This window comes from Homo sapiens, chromosome 1, assembly GCF_000001405.40.
Source record: "Homo sapiens chromosome 1, GRCh38.p14 Primary Assembly".
In the NCBI taxonomy this organism is placed as follows: Eukaryota; Metazoa; Chordata; class Mammalia; order Primates; family Hominidae; genus Homo; species Homo sapiens.
Window position 1 is genome coordinate 203,126,260 of NC_000001.11, and position 15,456 is coordinate 203,141,715.

The window sequence follows — 15,456 nt, forward strand, 5'->3', positions numbered from 1 at the left end:
AGAGAGAAAGCCTTGAGCCAAAAATGGCTTAAGTCAAGCAAAGGGTGGAGAGGCAGGGGATGGTCGCAAAGGCCTGCATGTCTGGGTGGCAGGGGGAGTAGGCAGGACGTCAGGTGCTGTTGGGCGTGTTGACAAAGTCAGCAGGGGAAGTGCAAGGGGACGAGGAGGAAGGAGAGTTTACACTTCCTAATTTCTCCAACTAGCTTCTAGGGAAGGAATGTAATTTTGCTGTCTGAGGCACTGATTCCTTGCTCCCCCTAAAGGCAGAAATGGAAGTTATTTTTCCCCACAGAGGGCTTCCCCCTCCTCCTCAGAAGACTCAACTGCCCTTCCTCCCTGCCTCCCAGCTACCCAGGTTCCGGGTCCCACATCATTCCTCACTGTGATTCAGTGCAGCCCCCAATGGGAGCAACGTGCCCACCCTCCTCTGGGCAGAACCCTTTTCCTTGCATTCTGAGATCCAGTGAGGGGGGCAGTACCCCCAGAGGCCAGGTTGGGTTGTGGCTAGCTAACATTGGGGTCCCCAGCCTGACTCTCTTTGCCTTCCTAGAACCCTTGCCCAATACCCACAAACAAGGATTTCTCAGGTTGGGATCTCTGCGAGGCATCCATCCATGTCCAGGGTCTGGTCATTAGTTAATATCAGTGGACTGCCTAAACCGAAACTGGCAGAAGGTGGCCAGGGGAGGGGTCTGGACCCAGTGGAGAGAGTCAGGAGCCTGGGATTCTTATTTTGGTCCTGTTAGGATTTGCCCTGTGACCCTCCGGAAGTCCCTTGCTTCCCTGAGCCTGCTTCTTTATCTGTAACATGAGGGGATTGGACTGGATGCCTTATGGCTTAGCGCTGTGCTATGAAGAGGAAGAAGGAGGAAGGAAAAGGAGCGCAGAGCGGGTTACACTGCCAGGAGATCCTGGGAAGCTAGGTCACTTCCCTGAGCCTCAGCATCCTTATCTGCAAAATAGAAATTGCTAATAGACTAAAAGGCAATTCTGAAAGATGGATGAGAAAGGAATATAATGACTCAGGGTAGAGCCTGCAAAACAATATGGGATGAGAAGATGCAGGGACTGGTTTCATGGAGAGAGCAGGGTTTTAGGATTGGGGGAGGGTGCCAGGGCTACCGACTGCTTTGGGAGATCCCAGAGGGGGCATTCTGAAGTCCTGCAGAAGAGATGCTGTGCCGTGAGGGGTGAGGGGTCGCTGGAGGCCAGACCAGGGCTCCCAGGAGTCCTGCATTGAGAAGGGAGAGAGTGGACACAGGAAGGATGCGCCTCTGTCCAGTCCTGAGGCTGGGCGCACACACCAGGCCCTTCGAAAAGCTCACATTTTTTCCAGCTTTTCTCACCCAGTATCACTTCCTTTGTTAAGAGGAGGGGGTGGGGGAGGAGACGGAGGATGAGGAGGGAGGGGCTGGCGGGTGCCGCCGCCGCCCCCGCCCCCTCCCGGTGTGCGGAGCCCGATTGTCACTCAGCTCCTGCGCCGGGGGCGACAGAGCCGCAGGCGCCCGAGTCGAGTCCCAGCCAGCTACCATCCCTCTGGAGCTTACCGGCCGGCCTTGGCTTCCCCAGGAATCCCTGGAGCTAGCGGCTGCTGAAGGCGTCGAGGTGTGGGGGCACTTGGACAGAACAGTCAGGCAGCCGGGAGCTCTGCCAGCTTTGGTGACCTTGGGTAAGTCTGAGTCTCGGTTCACCCCTGGGGCTCCCCAATGGGGGTGCAGGAGAGGGTTGAAAGAAGAGACCGGAATGCCCCCTTGGGGCAGGCCATGGGCAAGGTTCCCCGACAGAGCTGGAACGGGACCAGAGGACTGCTAAGATCCAGGCACCAGACGGGTCTCAAGTGGGTGGGCGCAGGGCAGGTGCGGGCACGCTGGGGAATAGGGAGAAACGCCCCAGCCTTGTCCTGGGCTCCGTCCCCAGACCCACGTCTGCCACCCCAGTCCCAGGTGCGAAACAGGGGCGCTACCTCTTTAAAAGCGTCCGGGGCTGAGTCTCTGCCGTACCATGTGATTGCTTGAAAGGCCGGGCTGGGAGCGCTGCGGCGGGAGCCGGAGGACTATGAGCTGCCGCGCGTTGTCCAGAGCCCAGCCCAGCCCTACCGCGCGCGGCCCGGAGCTCTGTTCCCTGGAACTTTGGGCACTGCCTCTGGGACCCCTGCCGGCCAGCAGGCAGGATGGTGAGCTCCCTGCATCCTGTTCTGTGCACAGGGGTGGGCAGAGCCAGTCATGGGAGACCCCTCTGTGCGTGTGTCTGTGTGTGCGCGCGCGCTGGGAGCTGCCTCACACCTGATAAAAAAGCCAGTGGAGGAGTGAGCGCTGCTATTTTAAGTTGCTGAATGGAACCTCTGGGAATGATAAAGGGAAGGGACAAAGATTAGGCAGAGAAGGGTCCGGGTGCCCCTCCAGCCTGGGTAGGAGCTGCATGTGACAAGTGGGACACATCACAGGGTACCTGGAGTTCCAGGGCAGCCTGAGCTCCCTGCCCCTCCCAGACGGGTCTCCCCATCCCAGGCTTCCCTGACCACACAGGTGCTTGCCTCGTGCCCCTTGGTGCCCGTCTGCTGATGTGCCCAGCCTGTGCCCGCCATGCCGCCCTCCATCTCAGCTTTCCAGGCCGCCTACATCGGCATCGAGGTGCTCATCGCCCTGGTCTCTGTGCCCGGGAACGTGCTGGTGATCTGGGCGGTGAAGGTGAACCAGGCGCTGCGGGATGCCACCTTCTGCTTCATCGTGTCGCTGGCGGTGGCTGATGTGGCCGTGGGTGCCCTGGTCATCCCCCTCGCCATCCTCATCAACATTGGGCCACAGACCTACTTCCACACCTGCCTCATGGTTGCCTGTCCGGTCCTCATCCTCACCCAGAGCTCCATCCTGGCCCTGCTGGCAATTGCTGTGGACCGCTACCTCCGGGTCAAGATCCCTCTCCGGTGAGTCCACAGCGCCGAAGGTACTCGCAGCACCACATGATGGCTGGCTTGAGGGCCATCTAGAAAGGAAAAAAGGTAGAGCATAAGACCCCAAGTAAGCCAGATGTTCTTTGGGCCATCGTGCTCCAGTCCTCACTCTGCCTTTCCGTGCTCCGCTCTGCAGGGCCAGAGAAACAGGAGGGGGATGGGTGGCTGGAGGACTGTACTGTGAACTTACCAGTGCCCATGACCTCAGAGCTGAAGCTCTTGCAGCCAGGGAACCTGAGGCTGCCTGTCAGGCCTGGGGTGGAGGTGGGAGATTTGGAAGAGCCACTAAGATGGGGTCACAGTGAGTGCTGGGTAGGAATGAGCTGAGCTCTGCCAGTCCCAGGGAAGAGGAAGAGGAAGAGGCAGAGAAGAGAGTTAGGGTGGGGTGGGAACATACTGAGGGTGGCACAACAGGGGCAGGAGTGCTGCTTCTCCAGCCAGACCACGGCAGGCTTCCCAAAGGCACGCTTTGGCTCTCTCATTCACCAGGTATCTCTGTGCTAGCCAGCTGTTCCTTCCAGGGCTTTCCAGCTGAACCCAACAGTCTGATTACCTTTGCCTCACTCCCACTTATGGGACCTCTGTTACAGACAGGAGGAAGGAAAAATGCTGGTGCCTACTTCTCATATTGCTGTTCTGTTGCAAAACCACCTCTTTGCTGGTCACAGTAGAGGTGCTTGTGCTGCTCCCAGGCAGCACTGGGATGGGTGGCCTGCTGGTGCCGTCCTCAGTGTGGGTGTCCAGCCCATGTTGGAGCTCCCTGCCAGGCCACAATCTCATCACCAGGCAGTGCCTTGGGCCACCAAGTGCCAGCGAGTGCCTGGGCATATTGCCAGGGACTGGCCCTGCTGGGACGCTCTTGTGAGGCATGCTTGCCCCCTCTTTGAATTCTTGCCCCCAGTAGATTCCTTTTCTCCTGGGGAGCTCTGGCCATCTCCAGCACCTGCCACCCCCGGCATAGCTTCTCTGGGATGTAGGGCCTCTGACCTCACTTGGCCCCTTGCCCGGGCAGGCCTAGGGACCCATGTTTCTCCCTTTGTGTTACATTTGTGCACATTTAACTTTTCAAAGCCTTTCTTACATGCATGATTTTTTCCTGTTATCATCACGCCGCTGTAAGGGAGGTGGAGCAGGAGCTTTTAAAGGGGGAAACTAAGACTCAGAGGGTCTCCTTGAAGCTCACTCAGAAGTGTGATCTAATTATCTGCCTTCCTTCCTGATTCCCCATGCCCAGTGGCTTGATGCCAGTCTCTCTGCCCTGTCTACCTCCCTCCACCCTCCAGGTTTTCCAGGGAAGGTGGGGTGAATAAGGGAACACAGCCAGAAGCCCCATAGGCTCATCCACTGAGGGGCCCACATGCTGCCATTAGTCCCAGGTTGCTGCTGGGCTGCACATATAAAGCTGGTCTCAGTGCATTAGAAGAGCGGGGCCTCTGAGCCTGGCCATTATAACGAAGTGTTGCCACATTTGGAAACTCATGCAGATGTCCAGCTGTAGGAAGGCTGCTGGAGAAATTCTGTCTGCTGAGTGAGTGTTAAGGTGAGCCAAAGGTCCCGTCTTGCTGTGACAGAATGCACCCTACTTGCCCTGTGGGGCTGGGATGGCTGCACTGGTGGGAACAGCAGACTTATTCCTTCAGGAGGCAGCTGCTGTGGCTTTGGAGCTGGGGTCCTGGGGAGCTGTCCTTTGAGGGTGGAGGCAGGGACCTGCACAGAGGCTGCCATGGGCCTGAGTTCAAATCCTTGCTGGGAATTTCTAGCTGTGCAAAAGTCACTTACCTAACCGCTTTAAGCTTTAATGTCCTTATGTATAAAAGGGAACATTAATAATAGTGCCTACTCCCTAGGGTTATTGGAATAATTTAATGAACTCATATATGCGAAGCACTTGTATTAATATTATGCCTCATATATGCAAGCCATAGGGAGGTCTTATTTGTAGTTTTATTGTCACTATTAACATATGGCTCAAGTGTGGCTGGATAGGTGAGCCCTACTCCTGCCACTCACGCTCTTAGGTGTCATTCGGTGTCAACACATACACACGAAGAAACACGCACACAAACACATACGCAACACATCTCCCAGGAGGTGTCTAAGTACTGTGAAGTTATATCTATACATGTTTCTACTCCTCTGGTGCAGTGTTGGTGCCTCAAGGCAGCATCCACATCTTATCTATTTCTGCAAATTCTTCAGAATGCCCAGCTCAGTGTCTGGCACATCACAGACCCTCAGTAAACGTTGATTGAATTGGCCAGGTTTACGGAACACACACAGTTGAGCCTCAAGCCTATCTTCCAGAAGTCTAACCTCTCACTTTCTTGCTGTGGGCTAGACCTGTCCCCACTTCTGATTCAGGGCCATGACCACAGATGCCCCCACTGGCTCAGCGTGGCTCCTTGACAGCCACACACCAGCAGTGCCTGGGAGTGTCCTGCCCCATGGAGAGGAGCCTTTCTCCTGAGTTAGGGAAAGGCTGCTGGGGCCTCACTTCTCAAGCAGGGATCCTGGCTGAGGTGTTGGGCCATTCTGGGCTCCTGCGTGGCACTGCCCAGGTCCCTTCCAGGAGGAACAGCATGCTTTGCTCCCCTCTACGTGGCTGGAGTCAGCAGGCTGCTGGGTCTACGAAACTCCTCTTGGCCAGAGGTCCCCAGGCACCAGGCTTGCTGCCCTGACATGCCAGTCAAAGGTAGATGTGGCCCTGGGCACAGAGAGTCGTACTGACCGAGCACTGGTGAGGCGTGTCTGGGGCACCCGGATACAGGTGTCTGCTGGCTATCACCAAGTGGGGCATGGTTTGGTCAGTCAACCACAAATTTTCTTTCTTTCTACTTGGCAGAAAACCAAGAGAGAAAAGAGATTCACACCATATAATATGATCCAGTTACAAAATTTTTTCTTTTTAAGCTCAAATTGTTGATTCATCAGTAACCTGTGGTCATTTGCATATAATTTGCACGCTATTTGCATAGCACCTCCCCATGCTTGGTAATTGAAGCCCTATTCCCCTCAGCTCCTGGTTCTAGGGAATCTCTATTATTTGTCCCTTAACCCCTCACCCAGAGCTTTCTTGGTGGCAATTTGGTGCCTACTCCCGAGGGCTAGTTGTAGGGAAGTGTGCCAACAGAGGGCTCCCTGACCAAACCTCTCTGTGGGAAGGAGACCCTAGCAAGGGGGCTGTCCATGGCCAGCTGGGTTGGAGTGGAGTGAGGGATGGTGGGTGTTTGCGAGTCAGGCAGACCTGAGTTTGAACCTTGCTCTGTTACTAATTAGCTATGCAACCTTTGATAAGTTATTCAGCCTCTCTGAGCCTTTCCCCTTCACCATCTGTTAAATGAAGGGGTTGGAGGTGGGGCATGGTGGCTCATGCCTGTAATCCCAGCACATTGGGAGGCTGAGATGGGTGTATCCCTTGAGACCAGGAGTTCGAGATCAGCCTGGACAACATGGTGAAACCCCATCACTACTAAAAATACCAAAAACAAATAGCTGGGCGTGGTGGCACATGCCTGTCATCCCAGCTACTTGGGAGGCTGAGACAGGAGAATCACTTGGACTTGGGAGGCGTATATTGCAGTGAGCCGAGATTGCGCCACTACACTCTAGCCTGGGCAACAGAGCAAGACTCTGTCTCAATATAAATAAATAAATAAAAAGAAAGAAATGAAGGGGTTGGATTTGAGGTCTCTGAGGTACCTTTCAGCTCTAATTCTGTGGTTCTTCCTTATCCTGACTCCTGCCAGTGCTGTGTTGGGATCCCGGGAGGGTTTTGTTGTGTTGTGTGTTTTAGCTCCTAGTGAGTGTATGCTAGGAACAATGCTATGTTTTTAATATATTTTATCTCATTCAATGTTCATAGTCTCACTAGTAGAGCTTATTGTTACCCCCATTGTATAGACAATTCTTTTTTTTTTTTTTTGAGATGGAGTCTCATTCTGTCGCCCAGGCTGGAGTGCAGTGGCACAATCTCAGCTCACTGCAACCTCCACCTCCCAGGTTCAAGCGATTCTCCTGCCTCAGCCTCCTGAGTAGCTAGAATTACAGGTGCATGCCACCATGCCCAGCTCATTTTTTGTATTTTTAGTAGAGATGGGGTTTCACCATGTTGGCCAGGCTGGTCTCGAATTTTTGACCTCAGGTGAGCCACCCGCCTTGGCTTCCCAAAGTGCTGGGATTACAGGCGTGAGCCACCTCGCCTGGCCTCTCTATAGACAATTCTTTAGCTAAATTGAGGGCTGAGGCTTGGGGAGTTTCAGTAACTTGCCCAAACAGCTTGTCAGGGGCAGAAGCAGGATTTGACTCTAGGCCTAACAGATGCCTTTAACCAGTAAGCCCATGTGTATCTTGCGTCAGCCCAAGAAGCTGTAGGATTTTTGGAGGAGTTTCTATGAAGTTGTCAGTAGGGTGATTTTTCTCCTCTGATCTTTGCCAATGGCCTCTGCACTCTGCTCAGTCCCCGCCCAGCATCTTCCCCTCCACCTTCACTCCAGTGGGCAGTTGAGCCCTTGGCAGTTCCTGCCTCTGTCCATAGCTTGAAGCCTGCCCCACTGGGCTGCTGACCCGGGGAACCACAGCAAGGAGTGGTGGAGGAGCTCGGCGTGCTGAGCCAGAGTGGGGAAAGAAATCTGGTAAATTAGGGCACGTTTGCGTTTAGGCATCAATTTAGCTGTCCCCACCCTGGCTAGCCTGGGCTTTTCTTGACAACCCTGAAATGCCTTGTGTGCCGTCATGCCCCCGCAGGTGACTGTCTGTGGCTTCTGGGTCCCAGAACAGTTGCTCTCAGGTCATGCCTTCTGCTTTCAGAGAGGTAGGCCGTCTTCAGATCCTGTATCTAAGGATGGATTAGTCATAGGCCTGGAGTGTCTAAGAGGGAAGAGGAGTTGGAGGAAGCCCTGAAGCTCAAACTCTCACACTTGCGGACTGAGGAGGAAACTGAGATTGGAGAGAGGAGGAGCTTACGCAAGATTACTTGGCTGGGAGTTCTTTCCTCCTCCCATCTGGATGCTTGCTCCCCCGCCTCTGATGTAAAAAGCTTGAGCAGAAGAGCTCTTTGCAGTCACCCGCCCCTCAAGGAACAGAAAAGGAAAGTATGCAGCCTCAGTGGGTGAAGTCAGCAGATCAGTGGCAGGCTTAGAGGGGAATGAGGCGGAGGGAAGTTGCTTTGTGATTGAGAAGATAATTTCTCTGAATTAGGGATAGCCTTCAGGTGTGTTAGGCCAAGCAGCTTGCTGGGCCAAGGGAGAACATGGCCTTTAATTGAAGAGGCATCTGGACTCCTTTCAAGTGTGAAAGCTTCCCCCAGCTGGCATCGGGTGGCTTCCCGGAAGTTTCTGAGTGCTTGAGGGGCAACCTGCCGAGGTGTCAGCTCTGCGTGGAAGCCGGAGAATGGCCAGGATGCCTTTTACCCAGAGGCAGATCTGTAGGGGCCGCACCCTGACATTTGCTATTTATTTCCAAGCATAAAAGCAATCCATGTTGATTGTGAAAAATGGAAGAAAGAATAAAGATGGTAAAATCACCAGTAATTCTACCACCTACAGAGAACTACCGTTAACATTTTGGTGTTCCAGAAAATTTTTCCACACACACACATATATATAGATATATTATTTTTACATATTGAGAACATCTATATATACATGGTTTTATATCCTATTTTATTCACTTAACATTATAAGCATTTCCCTGTGTCAACTAAAATGATTTTGTAAGGATTTTTATGGCGGTATAATATTGGATTGTATTATTACTCATCTTTTGGGTCTCAGCTAAAATGGGCTCTCCTTAGGGGGGCCTTCCCTGAGCCCCACCCCACCTGGACCAGTTTCCTCTGGTAGACACTCAAGTTGGATCTCCTTCTCCTTCCAAGTCCACCACTCATCACCTGGGTAGCTTTCTAGTCAATGTCGCTCTTTCTGGGCTTGGTAAGTTCCCAAAGGCCAGGGACACATCTGCTTACATACCCCCATTTCCCCATGCCTGGCACAGAGCAGGCATGCCGGAAAAATTTTTGAATAAATGAATATTTGAATATCATATTTTATTTATGCATTCTTATATCACTGGCTACTTCAATTGTTTCTGATTATTTATTGTTATGAAAAATGCTTTACTGTGTAACAAACCTGCACATGTACCCCTTAATCTATTAAAATAAAAGTTGAGGCTGGGCGCGGTGGCTCATGCCTGTAATCCCAACACTTTGGGAGCCCGAGGCAGGCAGATCATTTGAGGTCAGGAGTTCAAGACCATCTTGGCCAGCATGGTGAAATGCGTCTCTACTAAAAATACAAAAATTAGATGGGCATGGTGGTGCACGACTGTAATCCCAGCTACTTGAGAGGCTGAGGCAGGAGAATTGCATGAATCCAAGAGGCAGATGTTGCAGTGAGCTGAGATCATGCCACTGCACTCCAGCCTGGGCAACAGAGTGAGACTTTGTCTCAAAAAAAAAAAAAAAAGTTGAAATTATAAAATCAAACAAAAAAACACTTTAATGATTCACAATGTTCATAGGGTCAGAGCCAAGTCAGAACCTGGGCTGTGTCACCCAGTAAATAGTGTAGGTGCTATCTAGAAAGATTGCCTTGTGAGGTTAAATATTTCCCAAGTCCCTTTACTCCAACTCTCCCTTCTCCCTCCCCAATTTTACCCACACTGCAAATCCCCCGGGGGCATTTGGCATTCTTTAGCCCACTTCCCCTTCTGGGCTGGGTTGGGCAGGACTGTATGGGCCCCAAGTCTAGTCCTTATTGCCTGGTCTCTTTCCTGAAGGCCTCGGCATCCTGAGGGTGAGGAAGCAGTGTCCCTGGGAGAGGACTTGGGGTGAGGCACATCTTGGTTGGCCTCATTCGGCAGGTGGGGACAGACACATAGAGCAGAGAGGAAGGAAGTGGAGAGACACGGCTCCTTGGGCGGCATGAATCACTCCTTTAACCTCAGCCTTCTTAATTCAAGCCCAGAGGGAACTATCAGCTGCCGCAGTCCAAAGAAAAGCCTGGCAGGCAGGTGGTCGTGGGGATAAGGAGAAGAAGGAGAGGCAGATGGGTGGGTCTTGGCATACACGTCCTCTTAGAAATACTGGTTTGAAGGTGGGCAGGGAGATGGGGGCAGCTGGCAAGGGGCTTCCCTGACCCCAAGGGAGAGGACATGGGGGTACCTTCTCCTGCCTTGCTCCTTACCTTGGAATTTTATTCCCCAGCAGAACTGCAGAGAGGTGTGGGGCTGAGGGGCTGGCAACATCCATTTATCTATTTTATAAGTGTGCTTTGAGCACCTGCTATATGTCAGGCACTTGGCCAGGCCTGGGGATACACAGATGGGCAGGCTGATCTGGTCTCTACCTCTGTCTGACAGCTCAGAGTCTCTGCTGAGATGATGGATTCCCACAGACCAAGGTGGCCAAGGAGAAACTCTCACCCCACCTGTGGTGGGAGTGGGGATGGCAGGAGACTGGCAGCTGATGCCTTGCAGAGCTGGGCTGGGCAGCTGGATCCCACTCCACACTCACTCCATGCAGCTCAGGTTGTGTAGGAAAGGCTCTTTGAACTTACCTTCTTGCCTCTTGCTTCCCCTTTGAGAGAGAAGGGCAGCTGATTTGTCCCTACACCGGGCCCTGGTACAGATAGACCTACTCATTCATTAATTCATTCATTTGTTCATTTATTCAACAAATACTTATTGAGTGCTCATATGAGCCAGGGTCTGTTGGGATACTTTCATTAATAAAACAGAGATCCTCATGGAGACTGAATTCTAATGAATTGGAAATCAGATGCTAGATAATAAATGCAATACCTAAATCATGTAGAGTGTTGGAAGGTAGAATGTGCTATTGAAAAAAGAAAAAGGGGGCAGGGTAAATGGGATTGGAAATGCCCCAGCCCAGAATGGGGCTGGGAGAAAGGGTTGCAACTTTAAATAGGGTGGTCCGTGAGGCTTTACTGAGAAGGTGCCATTTGACCAAAACCCTGGAGGTGAGGGAACACACCATGCAGATATAGGGAGGGCATGCCATGCAGGGGAAAGAACTAGAACAGAGGCCCTAGCATAGGAATGTACCTGAAGGGTTTAGGGACTAGCAAAGAGGCCTGTGGGGCTGAGATGGAGAGATAAAGGGAGAGAGTGGTCAGAGATAATGGGTCACTGGCCCAGGTACAGCATGGAGGCCACTGGAAAGACAATGGCTTTTACTCTGAGGGAAATGGTGAGCCATTGCAGGATTTAGAGCAGAGATGTGACATGATCTGACTTAGGCTTTAAAGGATCACTCTCGTTGCCGTGTTGAGAATGTGCTTTAGGGACAAGGGTGCAAACGGGAGTAGTTAGGTGCTATTGCAGTGATTCAGGTAAGGGAAGACGGAGGTGGCTCTAATCTGAACAATAGCAGAGGAGGTGGTGAGAAGTGGTTAATTCTGGATATGCATTTAAAATTTTTAACTTTTAATTTACTTTGTATCAAAGTAAAAATTTTATCCAGTAAAGTGCATAAACCTCAAGTACTCAGCTCTATAAAATTTTGCATATGTATATACCTATATACCACTACCCCGATCAATATTTAGGACACTTCCAGCATTGTATGGGGCTCCCTCCCAGTCAGTACCCTCCAAAAGGCAACCTCTATTTTGATCTTTATCCTTATAGATTGATTTTGGTTGTTCTTGAACTTTTATATGTGGAGTCAAGCAGTTTGCACCCTTTTATGTCTGGCTTCTGAAGCTCAAAATTCTTGCCAAGATTCATCCCTGTTACTGAATGGGACTTTTCCCCTCATTGCTGTTAGAATTCAATTGTATGAATGTACCATGATTTGTTTAAATTCATGATGTATTTTGAAAAAAAGAGCCAAAGAATTTGCTTATGGGTTGGATGTGGGAATTTTCCTATAGATTGGATGTGAGAAAGAAGAATCAATATGACCAGACTTTTACTTCTAAGCAACTGGGAGGATGCAGTTGGCATCATCTAAGGTGGGAAAGGCTGCAGGTGGTGGAAGGAAGAAAATGAGTTTGGATTTAGACATGCTGACTTTGGCGTGTCTAACAGACATCTCAGTGGAATGTTGAGCAGGTGGTTGGATATACAAGAATGAGAGGCCTGGGCGGGTGGTTGTAAATGTGAGAGCTATGGCATGTAGATGGGTTTAAATCCATGAGGCTGGATGAGATCCCCAAGAGAGACAGTGCAGATACAGAAGAGAGGAAGACCAAGAACCGAGCATTGAGAAAGTGGGAAAAGAGGAGGCACCAGCAAAGGAGACTGAAGGAGAACTCCAGACATAGGAAGAAAACTCAGACCCAGTGTGGTACCTGGAAGCCAAGTGTAGACAGTCTACCAAGGAGGGTGGACAAATGGGTGAAGTGAGATAAGGACTGAGAATTACCAGCGGATTTTGCAAGGCCATTGGTGACCTTGACAAGGGCAATGTCAAAGGAGTGATGGGGGCAACGCCTGAATGGAGAAAGCTCAAGAGAAAAGAGGACTGGGATTGAAGGCAGGTGGTATCGAGTACTCTTGAGGAATTTTGTTGCAAAGAGAGCAAAGGAATGGGGCAGTAGCTGTCAGGGGAAGTGGAAACGAGCTGTCTTACTCTGGGATTTTATTTATTTATTTATTTACTTTGAGACAGAGTCTCACTCTGTCACCCAGGCTGGAGTGTAGTGGCATGATCTCGGCTCACTGCAGCCTCCGCCTCCCGGGTTCAAGTGATTCTCCTGCCTCAGCCTCCCAAGTAGCTGGAATCATAGGTGCATGCCACCATGCCCGGCTAATATTTGTATTTTTAGTAGAGACAGGGTTTCACCAAGTTGGCCAGCCTGGTCTCAAACTCCTGACCTCCAGTGATCTGCCCGCCTCGGCCTCCCAAACTGCTGGGATTACAGGCGTGAGCCACCGTGCCTGGCCCACTGTGTTGTTTTTAAGATAGAAGGGAGGTTAGTGCATTTGTGTGCTGACAGAAATGATCCAGCAGAGAATAAAACACTAGTGATGAAATAAAGGAGAGAATTTCTAAAGTGATGTCCTGGTTTAGGCTAGTGGGACATACGTGGAGAGACAGGCTTTAGACGGGATCCTGGAGGCTCTTCTGTGGCAACATGCGGCATCTGTGGGCGCAGATGCTGGTAGGTGAAGCTCTCTCCTGATTCTTCCCATTTTCGTAGTGAATTGGGAAGCAAGGTCACCAGCTGAGAGTGAGGATGCAGTAAGAGGTGGTGGAGAGAGCAGCAAGCGTGAAATAATTCTCTAGGAAGTGGGAGAGTGACTAGGCTCAGGAAGTCTAGTATAATTGGGGGCAGCATGAAGGGCCCCCCTTAAGTTTGCAGTGATGAATTTGAAGTGCAACTCAGCAGTGTGGTTGTGTGTTTCTCACCAGCCATGTTCAGCTGCATGGGCACAGGCATGGAAGAGGCAGATAATTTATTCCTTCATTAACTCAGAATGGCAGATTCATGATGAGATTAAGGACCTTACCACGGGCAAGAAGGGGGCTCGGGTCTCTGCCCTCATGGAACTTATAGGCTAGCAGGGAGCGAGAGCCCATGGACATGCCAGCAAGCAGGTGGCTTTGACTGCAATTTGTGAACTCAAAGGGAGCCGTGCTGGTATTCTCTGGGGCAGGCCCTTGTTGGTTTCTCCAAAACCCCACGTCGATGTCCAGAGAGACCCACAAGGGCTTCAGTAAGGCCTTGGAGGCCTTGTGGTTCATGGTCAAGAGTTTGGATTTTTTTCTAAGTGTGCTATGAAGCCTCTGAGTGGTTTAAGCAGGGAATCACATAATTCAGATTACATTTTAAAAAGGTCAAAAGTCCTTGAGAAAATATTAGCAAATCAAATCCGGTGATATAAAAAGGATAATATATCACCACCCGAAAGGGTTCATTCCATCTAGGCAAGGGTGGTTTAACATTTGAAAAAAATCAATCAGTGTAATTCATCACACCAACATAAGAGGGTCACTCTGCCTGCTCTGTGGAGGATGGGTTGGAGTGGGGTTACAGAGGATGTAGGGAGGCTAGTTAGGATTGGGGAGCAGCAGGCGGGGCTTGAGGCAGGCAGGGAGTGGAGGAGGCTGTGGAGATGGACAGAACTGGAAAGATTTCAGGCATGTTAGAGTTGGAACCAACTGGAAATAGGTTGAGGTGCAACGTGGGAGAAGGAATCCAATGTGACGATCCGGGCTTACGGCTTAAGCCACTGGGTGGATGGTGATGCTGTTTCTGGGGATGGGGAAGGGTGGGGAGGAAGAAGAAATTGGAGGACGATTCAGATCCTATTAGGTATCCAAATGGAAGCACTGTGATGGCAGGGTCGCTGGTGTCTTCTCTCTTACCACTCCCCAGCTCTCCTCCCCTGGTGTGGTCAGGAGGAGGGGCTCTCTCTTACCTCACACAGCCTCATAGAAGGGTCTCTTAAACACCCAGCAATCCAGACATTCCCAGGTGCCTTCAGCCACTCCAGCTGCTCTCTTTCCACCTTACTTCTCAGGAAGCCATTGCTTTCTCAGGCTGGGACCACAGCAGTAGGAACATGAGGCTTCAGGCTCCCTGAAGCTTCCAGAAGGAGACAGCAGAGTTGGGGGGCTCACTGGCTAGGCTCTTTCAGAATGTGGCACAGTGGCTTCTGGGACATTAAGGCCTCTTTTCCCTACCCCAGGCCTCTGCCTCTCCCCAGGAAGCCTTTGGAGAATCCTGGCCTCTGCATGCCTCCAGGGTCTCATTTCTTATCATTGCTGGAATGCAGCCAGTGGTCTGCATTGTGGATTGTGTTAACTCGTGCACAGTGGTTCCCACTCTGACTGGCAACAATCAGGGTCCTCTCATAGCTGCTGTAGAGCACTGAGTGGCCCCATTTCAGCGAATGCAGCTGAGAACCTGGTCAATCAATAAGCAGGCATCACCAAGTGTCAGATTTAGCCCAGCCCTGATGGCAGAGCAGGTGGGATGGGGGAGCCCCAGGGCTGGCATGGGGGCACGCTGTGTCCCAGTCATCCTGGCCTGCTCGTGGCAGCCCCATCAGCTCCTACATGCAGAAATCATCTCCTTTTGCCTCATGTAGGAGAGAACACTTTGCACTGCAGTTGGCAGGGTTGGTGTGGGCGGTGAGAGCCAGACCTCTCAGCTCTCACCATGCACCCTGCTCTCAGAGGCTACCAGTTTCCAGTTCTCACTTCCCCACCTCTGGGAGAGCAGGGGCTGGGACTCCAGCATGGCAAGAGCTGGTTCTCAGCTCCTTTTCTCTATTCCAACAGAACTGAGGGCTCTGAGGCACACCCACACTGCTGGAATGGTACCTCACCAGTGATTCTCTTGGGGGCAGGAGAGGGGACGGTCTGTTTGAAAAAAGCTCCTCTAACCTGGATTTTTTTTTTTTTTTTTTTTTTTTTTGAGGTAGAGTCTCACTTTGTTGCCTAGGCTGGAATGCAGTGGCACGATCTTGGCTCACTGCAACCTCTGCCTCCCGGGTTCAAGTGATTCTCCTGCCTCAGCCTCTCGAGTAGCTGG

General features: G+C 51.4%; 1 protein-coding gene across 5 annotated transcripts in view, besides 2 other annotated features; it reads left to right on the forward strand.

The window, feature by feature from the left end:
- Positions 1,191-2,171: an enhancer, noted in NCBI's record as "H3K4me1 hESC enhancer chr1:203096578-203097558 (GRCh37/hg19 assembly coordinates)". NCBI's record gives its function as "activates a minimal SCP1, AML or CMV promoter by ChIP-STARR-seq in primed H9 embryonic stem cells {active_cell/tissue: H9 hESC(primed)}" and the evidence as "EXISTENCE:reporter gene assay evidence [ECO:0000049][PMID:30033119]".
- ADORA1 (adenosine A1 receptor) overlaps positions 1,467-15,456 on the forward strand; it is a 39,680-nt gene continuing 25,690 nt past the window's right edge. For 2 of the 5 annotated variants that reach the window (NM_001365065.1, NM_001048230.2), the window contains exons 1-2: positions 1,467-1,669; positions 2,526-2,923. Coding sequence is in view for 3 of the 5 variants with exons in the window: in NM_001048230.2 (NP_001041695.1) it covers positions 2,583-2,923 (341 nt within the window). In the remaining 2 variants the exon portion in view is untranslated. Of the gene's footprint in view, positions 1,670-2,018; positions 2,174-2,525; positions 2,999-15,456 lie in introns of all 5 variants that reach the window. The other 3 variants (NM_000674.3, XM_047446499.1, NM_001365066.1) reach the window with 3 other exon arrangements.
- Positions 7,924-8,811: an enhancer, noted in NCBI's record as "H3K27ac-H3K4me1 hESC enhancer chr1:203103311-203104198 (GRCh37/hg19 assembly coordinates)". NCBI's record gives its function as "activates a minimal SCP1, AML or CMV promoter by ChIP-STARR-seq in naive and primed H9 embryonic stem cells {active_cell/tissue: H9 hESC(naive and primed)}" and the evidence as "EXISTENCE:reporter gene assay evidence [ECO:0000049][PMID:30033119]".